Source organism: Homo sapiens, chromosome 18 (assembly GCF_000001405.40).
Source record: "Homo sapiens chromosome 18, GRCh38.p14 Primary Assembly".
NCBI lineage: Eukaryota > Metazoa > Chordata > Mammalia > Primates > Hominidae > Homo > Homo sapiens.
In genome coordinates this window covers 12,025,454-12,039,650 of record NC_000018.10, presented here as the reverse complement: position 1 = coordinate 12,039,650, position 14,197 = coordinate 12,025,454, and the positions used below count along the sequence as shown (strand labels likewise).

The 14,197-nt window shown below is 50.9% G+C and overlaps 1 protein-coding gene across 2 annotated transcripts in view, besides 4 other annotated features; it reads right to left on the bottom strand.

The window, feature by feature from the left end:
- Positions 485-554: a silencer, noted in NCBI's record as "silent region_9304". NCBI's record gives its function as "represses an Ori minimal core promoter by ATAC-STARR-seq in GM12878 lymphoblastoid cells {active_cell/tissue: GM12878}" and the evidence as "EXISTENCE:reporter gene assay evidence [ECO:0000049][PMID:35858748]".
- Positions 935-1,004: a silencer, noted in NCBI's record as "silent region_9303". NCBI's record gives its function as "represses an Ori minimal core promoter by ATAC-STARR-seq in GM12878 lymphoblastoid cells {active_cell/tissue: GM12878}" and the evidence as "EXISTENCE:reporter gene assay evidence [ECO:0000049][PMID:35858748]".
- Positions 935-1,453: a biological region, named in NCBI's record as "H3K4me1 hESC enhancer GRCh37_chr18:12038197-12038698".
- Positions 952-1,453: an enhancer, noted in NCBI's record as "H3K4me1 hESC enhancer chr18:12038197-12038698 (GRCh37/hg19 assembly coordinates)". NCBI's record gives its function as "activates a minimal SCP1, AML or CMV promoter by ChIP-STARR-seq in primed H9 embryonic stem cells {active_cell/tissue: H9 hESC(primed)}" and the evidence as "EXISTENCE:reporter gene assay evidence [ECO:0000049][PMID:30033119]".
- IMPA2 (inositol monophosphatase 2) overlaps positions 8,774-14,197 on the bottom strand; it is a 49,371-nt gene continuing 43,947 nt past the window's right edge. For both annotated transcript variants that reach the window (NM_014214.3, XM_011525659.4), the window contains 3 exons: positions 11,500-11,608; positions 10,658-10,809; positions 8,774-9,308 (listed from right to left, as the gene is read on the bottom strand). In NM_014214.3, the coding sequence (NP_055029.1) occupies positions 9,193-9,308; positions 10,658-10,809; positions 11,500-11,608 (377 nt within the window). In that variant the 3' untranslated portion in view covers positions 8,774-9,192. The remainder of the gene's footprint in view (positions 9,309-10,657; positions 10,810-11,499; positions 11,609-14,197) is intronic.

Below are 14,197 nucleotides of genomic sequence, written 5' to 3'. Positions count from 1 at the left end.
TGTTGGGATTACAAGTGTGAGCCAACGTGCCGGCCTATCAATGTATTCTTTAAGCATCTTTTTATTTTGATAAAATGTAAATTTGTTTAACCCTGCTGCATGCAATAACTCAGCCCCCAAATCCTGTTTCAATTTAAAAAACAAAAACAACACCCTCTTGTCAAAAACTTGATTAAACTCTGGGTGAACTAGTTTTCTCACTTTTTTTCTCATCAGGCTTAAATTTTTATTGCATATCCTTACTTTAGCCATGGACTGAGTTGGTATTTTTTGGTTATGCACTCACAGCACGGCACAACGCATGGAATAACGGCATGTGTTCCGTCACAGTCCCCGCTGTCCTGTGCCCCTGCCATTCGCGGATACAGCCGAGCCCCACGGTTAAGCTCCTCCCGACCCAGGGACAAATGGCCTCGCCCAAGGGCGCAGGACGAGTCCCAAGCCCAAGCCATTCTGCAGGGCCCTGACCAGAGGGCGTCTGCGGCCTCGCGTGCTGCGCAGTTCTTCCGCTCGGACAGCAGGGGGCGCGCTGCCCTTGGCAAAGAAAGCCTCCGCGCCCAGCGACCAGCACCCAGCGCCCGCCTATACCGCCGCGCGGGCCGGTACCGGGTCAGGGCGGCGCGGAGCGTGGGTTGCAGAGACAACCCCAAGTGGTGGCTGGTCCCGGCGAGTCTGTTCCCGTTGTGCTGTCGCCTCGCAGCCCAGGGCTCCCTGAGAGTGAGGAGAAAGCTCAGGCTCCCAGGGCGGGCCCGCTTGGTCCCGGGAACTCGGGAGTCACCGCCGTCAGTGTGACCGGGTCCGAGAGCGCGGGTCGTTGGAGCGCAGTGTGGCCGCCGCGTGGGGACGTCTTGGGGGAGGTGATGGCGACGCTGGGGGCCGACCCGGGGCACCGCGTGGTCCCAGACAGCTGCGCCCATCAGGGCAGACGGGCGCCCCAGCCCCTCAGTCCAGCCCGGGCCCATCCTGCTCCGGGCTGCGGGGACTGGGGGCGGGCCGCCCGGGGGCGGCCTGGGGCCTTGGAGATGTGACCCAGGTGACACGGACTCTGGGACCACCTGCCTCTCACACCGGGGTGCCCGAGTGCCCTCATGATTTGAAGAAGAGGGAGACAGAGTCGGAGCCCAAAGCATCTAAAGGCCGCGCTGGCAGCACGCACCCACCGGGAGGAGATGACGAAGCCGCCCTCGCGTCTGAAAGCGCCTTCCTTCTACGCGTGCAGGGACGCGCCTGGCAGCGGCCCACCCTGAGGCTGCAGGACAGGAACCGGTCCCCCGGATTCCTCTTCCTCAGGAGCCCTTACAGAGTCCACACAGCCGGCTGCGAGGGAGGACAGAGCCCACTCACATCTCCACGTGTGGAGGCCGCCTGGCCTGGAAGCTCATTCCCTGCAGAAACCAGTCTCTCCAGGAGCCCCAGGGTGCCCCTAGCAGGAATCACCACACCCATAGCATAGCTCTCTTCCATTACTTAGTGATGGCGCCTCCCAAATCAGCTTCCCCCTGCCAGCCAGGAGCTGTTTTCGCCATAGGCACTATTGCCTAGTAGGCAGCTGGGACATTCCACCTTCGCCTTCTGCCAGGAGAACAGGTAGAAGGCCAACTGCATTTAGTTCAAATAATGCAAAAAGGGAAACATTGTTAAACTTTTGCATACGAATATTGATTTTATTAAAATCTGGAGATATCTTTTTTGAGACGGAGTTTCACTCTTGTTGCCCAGGCTGGAGTGCAGTGGTGTGATCTCGACTCACTGCAACCTGCGCCTCCCAGGTTCAAGCGATTCTCCTGCCTCAGCCTCCCAAGCAGTTGGTATTACACGCGTGGGCCACCATGCCCGGCTAATATTTTTGCATTTTTAGTAGAGACGGGGCTTCACCATGTTGGTCAGGCTGGTCTCAAACTCCTGACCTCAGGTGATCCACCTGCCTTGGCCTCCCAAAGTGCTGGGATTACAAGCATGAGCCACCTCACCCGGCCTAAAATCTGGAGATATCAAACCTAAATATATATTCCCTTCTTTTACAAAGTGAAAAAAAAAAACACAAAAACTAACTCTATAGAATGTGAAAACAGAGACATATCTTAATAGTAACACATGTTAAGTGCTTTGATTCAATTCCTGTTGTTGAAACCCAAAAGCAAAAAAACCCCAAAACCTTTGAGAAAGCTGCTGGTACCAAAATGGAGTCACTTACATTAAACTCCAGCAAAATGGAGTGGTGGGAGGCCATCAAGAAGCCCTCACGCCCACATGCCTGAAACAGGACTTATCCCAAGACTTTCCTGCACCCAGACCAGCATCACGACTTAGTGCAAGGACTTCTTGAGGCCGCAGTATTCCAGATCTGCCACCAGCACGCAACACTGACCTGGCAACAGCCGCCTCCCCCAATCAACAGAGCCAACTCCTGCAGTGAGCTTCTGTCACCTACGAGCCTTGTTTCAAAGCCGCTCATGTGTACATCTGTTTGTCTTTAAAAGATTCCTCTTTGGCTAGGTGCAGTGGCTCATGCCTGTAATCCCAGCACTTTGGGAGGCCAAGGCAGGCAGATCGCTTGAGGTCAGGAGTTCGAAACCAGCCTGACCAACGTGGCGAAACCCCATCTCTACTAAAAATACAAAAATTAGCCGGGTATGGTGGCGAGTGCCTGCAATCCCAGCTACTCGGGAGGCCGAGGCAGAAGACCCACTTTAACCCAGAAGGCAGAGGTTGTATTGAGCCAAGAGCAGAGCGAGACTCCATCTCAAAAAAAAATAAAAATAAAAATTTATCTTTGCCACGACATCCCTGGATATGCCCTGATCCATCATTATAGCACACACATCCTGAACTATAATCCCTTGCCTAGTCCCAAGTGAGCCCATTTGTTCTGGGTCCTATCTGAGCTTCTTTTTAGCCTGACACCTGCACAACTGCTGCGTGTGGTGACTCACAGTTACTAATATCTCAGTGAAACTCTTCTCCAAGCCAAGGGGCCCAACAGACTTGGCCCTCCGTGCACAGGCAGGCCTGATGCATGGGAGTGGCTGGGAGCCACCACCCTGTCAAAGGCGGAGACCTTGGAACCACCTGATGGCATTCCAGACTTATAGGTGGATAATTAATGACTTCACAGCATGGAAACTTCCAGTTGGCAGCAGTTGCAGGCCATTCTGACCCTTACTGAGATGGTTTTTGGGGAACGTGGTCCAGATGGTGGATGTGACACTCTCAGCCGGCACAGGTATGAGGACTGAGGCCATCCTCGGGCAGGGGCAGGAAATGGAGGATTGCCAGCTGTCTGGATCTGGGCAAGGGCTATGAGGTGGCACACCATCCAACCTGAGCAACTCTTGGCCCTACACGCCAGCTCCTTCCCCCAAGGTTGGCAGGGGATTCCCTGTCCAATGCCGTGACTTTTCTAGTGTTGGACGCACCAGACATGCCTGCAATCTACCACAAAACTAGTGACTGGTGAGACCTGGAGGTCAGAAGGTTGGAACAGGTGATTGCTAAGGGACATCCCCTTCTGAGATTCCATTATTCAGTCCGAGAAGCCCACAGGAGACACTGTCAAAACCCTCCAAATTACTTTCTGCATAGACATATCAGATCATTCTACTGGAGGGCAACCCTATAGCATGACTGACAACCATGACATTCTCACCGAATAGAGATACACCTGCCACCTGAGGGCTTCCTCTCCTCTCACTTGATGATGGTTAGAACCAGCTCTCCAGTAGAAGGACTGACACACGCAGTATCACAAGTATCCTCCCCGTGTTTCCAGCACAAAGTTTGGACTGCTCCACATGGTGCCCAAGGCCCCGAGTTGGCCTATGTGTTTAAGCATCACCTCCCCAACCCTCCAAGCAACAAGATGCCTCCTGCAGCCAAGCAGAACCACGTGTTTATCCCACTGCAGCCCTAGCCATTTCTCTCTGCCTCTACCTGAACATCCTGCTCCAGATCCTTTTCCCCACCCCCCTCACATCTCCAGCTGGCCTGCTCGGTGCTGTCACGCGGGCACTGTGAGCCTGCAGAGTCCAGGGGGTTCCTGGAGGTCAGGGCTCCTGTTTACCTATGCATCTGGTAAGACGGGACATGTGACTAGTGACAAACTGAAACCTCTGCTCCTTGTGAGATGCCACACTCTGGGAAGTTGTGTGGCTACTTCTTGCATAGGAACTTGGGCACTGGAGTCACCCCTTAGGATCTTCCCATTCCCAGAGGCCAGCGGTGTTGTTCCCCTCTTCTTCCAACTTCAGGTTCAGATTTTGGCCTCTCCATTCCAGTTTAGTGATGGTGGCCCTGCCCCACGGGCTCTGCACTCCTGGCTTTGAAGCTGCAGTTCCAGATCCTTTGCAATAGCCCCTTGCTTTTGTCCCCTACGTCTTCATCTTCCATCTGCGTCACCCATCCCACACTCACTGCTTTTGTGGGGTTTTTTGTTGTTTTTTTCTGAGACAGGGTCTCACTCTATCACCCAGGCTGGAGGGCAGTGATGCAATCTTGGTTCAGTGCAACCCCTGCCTCCTGGGTTCAAACGAGTCTCCCACCTCAGCCATGTAACTAGCTGGGATTACAGGTGCACGACACCATGCCTGGCTAGTTTTTGTATTTTTAGTAGAGACAGGGTTTCACCATGTTGGCCAGGCTGGTCTTGAACTCCAGACCTGAGGTGATCTGCTCGCCTCAGCCTCCCAATATGCTGAGATTACAGGTGCTTTTGTTTTAGATCTGCTGTGGGCTGTAGCTGACTGCAGTGACTAAATGGTAGAGAGGCCTGCCCAGGCGACCCCCAGGATGCGACATGGCTTGTGGTGTTTGGGGCATCCAGTCCTGGCACTCGGTGATGCCATCTACATGGACTTCTCATCTTCATCTTCCTCTACAGGGGCCTCTACAAGTGACTAGCTTCACTCCACCCTGAAGCCTTCACTCACACAAAGAGGAAGCAATTTGTGGGGCTGAAACTGGGAAAGGAAGTCCAGGGCAGAGAAAGAGGCAAGAAGCAGTTGGGGTGAGAAGCCCTTGACTCTGGGTCCTCTGTCCTGGCTCCTGCAGTCTTTCTGCTCTTCTTGTCCATCTGTTTGATGTGGTCACGTGCATGCACTATTTCATTTGATCCACACAGTCCTGGGAGGAGTGCAGTTTAATTCATTTTACAGAGGGGCACAGAGAGGCTAGGCCAGTACCTCAAGTTTACCCGGCTGCTGAGTGGCCCCCTGTGCTGACATGCATAGCCCCTGCATGTCCCAACATCTGCTGGGGACAAAGCGCTGGTTCAGATGGCCTGGTGCCTCCCCAGATCATCCAAGTTTTAGGCCACTGATTTGGGCCTCTGCTTATGTTTTCAAAAAGCTGCTCTATTTATACATTGCCTCCACAGAAAAAAGCAATGATGAATGTGGTTCCTACTGGGAAAGCTATAGGATGTATTTTTCCAGCCCGGAAGTCCTGGGTATGGATGATAGAACTGATTGTAAATGGCTTAATAAATCAGGCAAAGCCTGTCTAAGCTGTGGTATAATCTAAATATTTCTAGTTTTCTTGAATAACATTTGGTTATTGGAGACATCATGATCTTTTCATGCTTTAATAATATATTTAACTGTAAAAAACAAAAACAACAAAAAACCAACCACAGTTGATGTGTATGGAAAGTAAAATCTGGAGACCCCCAAACTCACTATGCCCAAGGGAAAAGGTAAGCTTGGAAGCTGAGTCAGGAGGAACACCGACCTTCCTTTTGTTCCTCAACAGAATGGCTAGAGATAGAAGGCAGTGTCTTCCCAGGTGGCCTCTCTCACCCAGACGATGTAAATTAACAGCATATCTTCCCGGTGAGGGATGAGAGGAGAGGAAAAATACCGTCTCCCCCATGTAACCCACTGTTCCGCTTCCCCCTCCTTGCCTGCAGTATGTGGATTAACGAGCTCTAATCAAGGATGAGACCATACCCTCTTTTGTTTTCTTTCCTCTTTAAATACTGAAGCGCCCAAAATCCTTTTTGGAAAAAAGTGCAGACCACAGATCCTACAGTGGCTTGTGTCCTTTTCCCAGGCACATCCTCAATCTTGGCAAAATAAATCTCAACGCTGACTGAGACTGCCTCCGTCATTCTCTGGTTTCATGGTACTCTCCTAGGTGTCGTCCTGGGACATGCTCCCAACCCTGTGAGGGAGGCAGCCAGACCCCCAGTACAGACTTCACCTGGCACCAAAAGAGAGCTGACATGGCCCTCTCAAGGCCACACAGCTACCTGAACATCAATCCGCGTCCTGACTCCTGGTCTGAGTGGTGACAGTGATGCACTAGGACAAATGTTTTACTTTTTATTTGGGATTGGATCATAAAGGCAGCAAAACATTTGATGACTCATGTCCACAAGACACTCAGTGAAAACTGTTGAAATGAAGGGAAAAAAAAATGAGGGCAAGTATCCTGAAGCCTATGAGTGGAATTCAGAATGAATGTCATCACCAGTGATAGATGAATATCATTTTGTAAGAGGTCTAAATGACATAGCAAGCAGTTTTGCTAACTCTGAGGATCACAGAGGTGAGCAGCCCATTTCGTTTCTGGGAGGCTTGTCCAGGGATGAATGAGGCAAGCCCGCAGGTCCCCACCTTGGGTGCCTCTCTTTTCTCCAAGGTTCACTCTGCTTCTCCTGAAGCCGCAGGGATGACGCTCATGCGGAATACTTGCTAAAGGCAGCCTGAGACTCCGGACAGAGCAGAAGCAGAAGCAGAAGCAGGAGTCAGCTCAAGCTCCCTCAGGGCCTCCTGCTGTCCTGACCCAAGGGCTGGGAGGGCCTTTCCTGAGGTTGGGGAGGGGAGCAGTTCTTTCTTTTTGTTTTTTTGTTTGTTTTGTTTGTTGAGACAGGGTCTCGCTCTGTCACCCAGGCTGGAGTGCAGTGGAACAATAATGGCTCACTGCAGCCTCGACCTCCTGGGTTCCAGCCATCCTCCTGCCTGAGCCTCCCAAGCAGCTAGGACTACAGGCACGCACCACCACACCTGGCTAATTAAAAACTTTTATTATAGAGACAGGGTCTCATTCTGTGGCTTAGGCTGGAAATGCAGTGGTGCAATCATAGCTCACTGTAACCTCAAACTCCTGGGCTCAAAGGATCCTCCCACTTCAACCTTCCAAGTAGCTGTGCACCACATCCATCTAGTTTTGGGTTTTTTTTTGTAGAGATGGGGTCTTGCTATGCTGCCCAGGCTGATCTGGAATGCCTGGCCTCAATCCTGCCTCAGCCTCTCAACGTGCTGCGAGAGTTATTTTGTTGAAGAAAACTTCCAGATATTATTTGACTAATAAGCACTACATCTCAAAATCCATGAGAATGTAAGAAATTTCTTGCACATCTGTATAAATACTCAGATCTGTTTTGAGTAGATTCTGAGAAAATTAAGATGGGCTAACGAAGGCCTAAAGGAATAATCAGCAATTTGGAGAAACATGAGCATATTTTAAACTCATTTAAAAAATCCAAACTATTTATTGAAAAGCTCTACTAAACAAAATTAGTTCAGACAAAGCAATAAGATGACGAATCAAGCTCTCTCCAGAGATGAAAGAAAAGCCAGTCTCAAAGATGACTATAACTAACGCTGTTGCTGGAAAGACAAGGGCACCGAGCCAGCCCTGGGAGAGGCTCCACTTCTTCAAAGACAAAACGATTCCAAACGTGGCAGGACACAGTGCTCACCCTACAGTGAACCTCTGGGAATATGTTATTTTTTAAATTCAGTTAATCTTTCTTCTTTTTTTTTTTGAGACAGAGTCTCCTGTCGCCCAGGCTGGAGTGCAGGGGTGCGATCTCAGCTCACTGCAACCTCCACCTCCCGGGTTCAAATGATTCTCGGGCCTCAGCCTCACAAGTAGCTGGAATTACAGGCATGCGCCACCATACCCAGCTAATTTTTGTATTTTTAGTAGAGATAGGGTTTCATTATGTTGTCCAGGCTGGTCTCAAACTCCTGGCCTCAAGTGATCCACCTGCCTCGGCTCCCCAAAGTGCTGGAATTACAGGCATGAGCCACCGCACCCAGCCAAGACTTTCTCATTCTTAAACTTCAGGAAAGATGTCTGGCCAGCCAGTTAATAGCCTCATTAGAATTATTCTTACATACCATTCCGCCTCCTAAAGAGAAACAAGTAAGGCCCAGTTTCTCCTCTTTAAACTGATCACAGATTGGCCAGGTGTGGTGATTCAATCCCAGCACTTTGGAAGGCTGAGGTGAGAGGATCACTTGAGTCCAGGAGTTTGAGACCAGCCTGGGCAACACAGTGAGACCCCATCTCTACCAAAAAATTTTTAAAAATTAGCCTGGCATGCTAGTGCATGCCTGTGGTCCCAACTCAGAAGGCTAAGGCAGGAAGATCACTTGAGTCCTGAGGTCAAGGCTACAGTGAGCTGTGATCACACCACTGCACTCCAGGCTGGGAGACAGAGCAAGACCCCAACTCAAACAAAAACAAAAAAGCTGATCACAGAAACAACAGCTTTCAGAGATTAGTTTCCTTCTGTCTGTCCCATGTCTTGGCTTCTGAACACTCACATGATATTACTGGGGTCGCCTTCAGGGTATTCATCAGAGGCAGCAGCTGGCACACACTGGACTTTGGGTTTCATTCGCATGGACTTTGGGTTTCATTCGCATGGACTTTGGGTTTCATTCGCAAAGCTTCCTGAGAGCATAGATCCACAGCAGTGGATGAGAGCCACAGAGTTGTTTGGGAATCAGGCGACATGCTTATAGAGGAAACAGATACACACAGGGCCATTATTTTGATTTATTGCATTCTGAAGTACTCCGGGGGGAGGGCCTGAGAACGATCCGCTTTATCAGCAGTTCTAAAGCCTTATTACCTGAGATTTATATTCTGGGGGGAAAAATCAAGATTGGATTATCAATACGTATTTCACAGGAGATTTGAGTTTTGGCCCTGACAGAAGAACACGTACTAACCTGAAAAAGGCTACGTGAGATTAAAGAGAGAAACAGCTAAACACCAAATCCTGGTGAGAGAGACGTCGATTTAAAAGGCCAGCCACTCACTGTAGCGTGACAACTCCCTCTGGGGTAGCCAGGAGCAGAGCGTGAGCCACTGGCATGGAGCGTGGGCCACGAGGGCCACCTCCCCAGGAGCCCACAGCAGCCCAGGGAGGCCTTGGGAGCAGCTTTGCCTCAGCCGCAGTCACTTCTCATCATCCCGCCCATAGTTAATCGTCTGTAAGGCCTGAGCTATGAGCATCGCCATCTCCCGGGTGCTGGCCGCAACCACTCTGCAAGCCATGAGGTCGAGGGGTCCACCTGGGGACAGACAGAGAGAGCCAGGCATCCGGGTTACCAGAGAGGGCTGAACAATGTTGTGTAACAACTTATCCCACATGCACACAGCACAGGAAATGGCACATGGAACCGTGCCCAAGCCCCAACACTCGTATTAAACAGGTGGTCTAGGAGTGAATTCGGCAAAGAATAGAGGGATGGAGCCTCTCCCGCCCCACCCCAGTGTGAATGCAGTCAAGGGCTGCACAGAACAGAGTGCGGCTCTGAAGCTGCCACTGCCTTAAGAGATGGAGAACATAAAAGTCCTAAGAAATGCAAGCAATGGGCTAGACCCGAACAGGGGAGCTGCCCTTCTCAAGCTTGACTGTGCACAGGGGTCAGCCAGGGGCTTGTGAAACCAAGGCTCTGCCTCAACAGGTCTGGGTGGGGCTGAGGCTACCTGCCCACAAGCTCCTGGGGGTGCACCGCTGCTGCGGGACCCACACTCGAAGAAGCTCGGGCAAGATGATAAAGCCTTGCATCTTCCTGAGGGATATGAAACAGCTCTGGATGCATGGGCTGGAGACCTGCTTGCACATACGTGAGCCTTCAGGTGCTCTAGTGGTAAAATCAGAGTGATGGGGGCTTTAAAATATGGAATGGAGGCCGGGCATGGTGGCTCAGGCCTGTAATCCCAGCACTTTGGGAGGCCGAGGCGAGTGGATCACCTGAGGTCAGGAGTTCGAGACCAGCCTGACCAACATGGCAAAACCCCATCTCTACTAAAAATACAAAATTAGCTGGGCATGGTGGTGAGTGCCTTTAGTCCCAGCTATTCGGGAGGCCAAGGCAGGAGAATTGCTTGAACCTGGAAGGCGGAGGTTGCAGTGAGCCGAGATCATGCCATTGCACTCCAGCCTGGGTGACGAGTGAAACTCCGTGTCAAAAAAAAAAGAAAAAATGTGGAATGGGGTCGGGCATAGTGGCTCATGCCTGTAATTCCAGCACTTTGGGAGACCGAGGCAGGCGGATCACGAGGTCAGGAGATCAAGAGCATCCTGGCTGACACCATGAAACCCCGTCTCTAATAAAAATACAAAAAATTAGCCAGGCATGGTAGCACGCACCTGTAATCACAGCTACTCAGGAGGCTGAGGCAGGAGAATTGCTTGAACCCGTGAGTAGGATGGTTGCAGTGAGCCGAGATTGTACCACTGCACTCCATCCTGTGTGACACCAAGACCCCGTCTCAAAAAAAAAAAAAAAAAAAAAAAAACAGAAACTCTGGGGAAGGTGGGAAATTCAGTTGGTGGGGACTTCAGGAAGTGCCCCACCCACAGTGTCTCTCAGTCTAGTTTCTGCCGCTGCATTTCAGGGACAGGAGAGCTCACCCGAAGTGTCTATCACGATGCCGCCTGCTTCTCTGATGATGACTGTGGCAGCCGCCAGATCCCAGCAGTGCAGGCCAAACTGGTAATAGGCATCCGCGGCCCCTGAGGCCAGGTGGCAGAGTGCCAATGTGGAGCTTCCAATCACTCGGACCCTGGGGAGAGGGAAGGGAGGACAGATGCAGGCGGGAGTGGAGCCTTTTCTGTGGTGTGCAAGCCGACTTCAGCCAGGTACCCCGGCTGGGCATTTTCCCTAGTGAAAAATGAAGCACAGCACTTCTGCCAAAGCTCTGGAGGCTGAATATAGGGCCTGGAGCCACCAACCAACAGGCCTCCGCCAGACGCAAATGCCTTGTGCCATGACAGCTCCCAGCTGACCTAGCTACTGAGCACCTGAGATGCAGCAACCAGAGAATTGAATCCTCCTCTACTGAACGTGACATTAAGTGTCAGTGGTCTCACATGGCTAGGGCTCACAGCACAGCCCTACTGGGAAGGCAAGAGACAAAGAGGATTCACTGGGCTTTGATAAACCTGTCTGACGCCAGGCCCCCTCGGGAAGGACTGTAAGTATTTGCACCATTCGCTGGTTGAGCAGCATGAGGTCAGTTCCATGGATTCTGATCAGAAGCAACACAGGTGCCCACGCATCTCCAGAGGCCTGGCTATAGGAGTATCTACTGCAGGCGGGCCCCTCACAGGGCTTCCCTGAGTCTGATGTTCATGTGCCCCTCCCACTCTTTCCACGTCAGGCTTCCTCCTCAAATCCCAGGGGAGTTTTAGCAAGTCCGTGTTCCGTTCTTCCTCCTCGGGCTGCAGGGTGTTCCCCGAACTGAACCTCCTACCCATGCGCCTTGGCATGCAGCAGCCGCTCCATGTTACTCAGGAACAGCTTCAGGGTCGCAGGGTCACGTTTGGGGCCAATTTCTGTCAGAACCAAGGCCTTTGAGAGATCTGCAATAAAAAGAATTTCCTGTCACCAGAAAAATCAAGTCTTGGTTCTAACTAAGGAGTACAGGCTTCCAACGTGAGCCTTTCTTTCTCAGAGTAAGGATCATCTTTCGACTGGTTCATGCTGAATGCTTTTTTGATATCTATGTTGAAAACTAAGGATGGACCGGGCACAGTGGATCGTGCCTGTAATGCCAGCACTTTGGGAGGCTAGGGAACAAGGATCACCTGAGGCCATGAGTTCCAGACCAGCCTGGGCAAGATGGTGAGACTCCATCTCTGCAAAAAAAAAAAAAATTAAAAGTAGCTGGGCATGGTGGCACAGGCCTGTAGTTGCAGCTACTCAGGAGGCTGAGGTGGGAGGATTGGTTGAGCCCAGGGGTTCAAGGCTGCTGTCAGCCATGATTGCGCCACCACATTCCAGCCTGGAGGACAGAGCAAGTCCCTGTTTCTTTAAAAAAAAAAAAAAAAAAAAAAATCACCATCATTCAACCAAAAAGAAAAGCAAAATGACTCCAAACTGGGAACACTCAATGTTTGGAGGGAAAAAATGCTTCATTAATCGTCTAACTGCTGCAATCGCAACGATAGAAATACCATTTTCTTGGAGAAAGCAACTTTTAAATAATGCTGCTTTGGAAAGGGAAGCTGCAGGAGTGAGCCCTCTGGATGCAGGGGGGTGCCGACACCTGGAATTCATGGCCTGCCGTTTATGTAACAGCAGGCGAGGCTGCCAGGGCTGGCAAGCCTGGCTCAGGGCAGGACGTGACCGGGATTCTGCTCCTGTCCCTGACTCACTGCTGGGGATCAGAGCAGTTTGTCCTTGTTGTGCCACACACCCAAACACAGCCAAACTTCGGTCATGTCCCGTCAGGCCTCACTGCCCGGGCAGGACAGTGCCAAACCAGGTGTGCTCCATGACAAAATAAAGCCACTCCCAAAGTCGGGGGAAACAAATCCTATCACATTACTGCACTCAATGGACCCAGTTCTGTGTCACCACTTTCAAATTCTCCGCTCACCCAGGAAATCTCTCAGCCAGAATCCAGGTCCAAGTGTCCCTTTTCTTCCATGGAAACTCTCATTTTACACCTTAAAGCACTTTCTGCAAAACACCTGGCTCCACACCAAAGCAACCTGCCTGCCCTCAGGAGGTCCAGATCATTCACCGCCGGCCATGCCCAGCACTGAAGCTGAGCTATGAGGGCACTCCTGCCCTGGGACTGGCAGCAGGCCCTCCACAGATACCACCTGAGCCCTGCAGCTGCCACCCACAGCTGGGACAAAAGGCGGCTGTTCCAGGTGCTCCCTAATCCACACAGGATCTGCAGACAGGCTCCAGCAACCCTTCCATTCCTTACCCTCCAAACCCCACCCTCACCTGGCCACAAACAGATGGTATTTTTTCCGGGGTGGGGGTGGGGAAGGCTTCCATTAAAGAAAGAGACATCAGCAGACCCAGGCTGAGTGGGCACTCGATAAACAGTTACTGAATGAATGAGTGCTTTCCCTCAAATGCCAGCGCTCAAGAAGGTAGGATTGGAGTCTTTGTTTTGATTTGGTTCATTAAATTACTAGTATTTTAATTTATGGGAGAAATGTTTGAGGCAGAATTTTGTTGGCTAATCTAAGAATCTAAATACTATATACAATACTGATTTTGGGGGTAAACTAATTCTGAATTACGAATATTTTAGTTAGAAATGCTCTTTTGGTCGGGCGCGATGGCTCACGCCTGTAATCCCAACATTTTGGGAGGCTGAGGCGGGCAGATCACCTGAGGCTGGGAGTTCAAGACCAGCCTGACCAACATGGAGAAACCCCATCTCTATTAAAAATGCAAAATTAGCCAGGCATGGTGGTGCATGCCTGTAATCCAAGCTAGCAGGAGGCTGAGGCAGGAGAATCGCTTGAACCCGGGAGGCGGAGGTTGCAGTGAGCCAAGATCACACCATTGCATTCCAGCCTGGGCAAGAAGAGCAAAACTCCATCTCAAAAAAAAAAAAAAAAATGCTCTTTTGAAATATAATAATATGGTAATCTGGGGAATGCGTGTTAAATTAAAATTAAAAAATAGAAATTGGACTCACAAGAAGAGATACAGATGGCAAATAAGCATATAGAAAGATGCTCCACATCATATGTCCTCAGGGAAATGCAGATTAACAACGAGACAAAGCCAGGAGCATGGCTTACGCCTGTAATCCCAGCACTTTGGGAGGCTGAGGCGGGAGGATCAGGAGTTTGAGACCAGCCTGGCCAACATGGTGAAACCCCGTCTCTATTAAAAATACAAAAATTAGCCGGGTATGGCAGCACGTGCCTGTAATCCCAGCTACTCAAGAGGCTGAGGCAGGAGAATCGCTTGAACCTGGGAGACAGACGTTGCGGTTAGCCAAGATCACACCACTGCACTTTAGCCTGGGTGACAGAGTGAGCCTCCGTCTCAAAACAACAATAACGAGACACCTCTACACATCTGTTAGAATGGAGAAACAACACTAACTACAACAAGTGCCAGCCAGGATGTGGAGCAACAGGAACTCGCATGCATGGCTGGTGGAAATGCAAAATGGTGCATCTGCTTTGGAG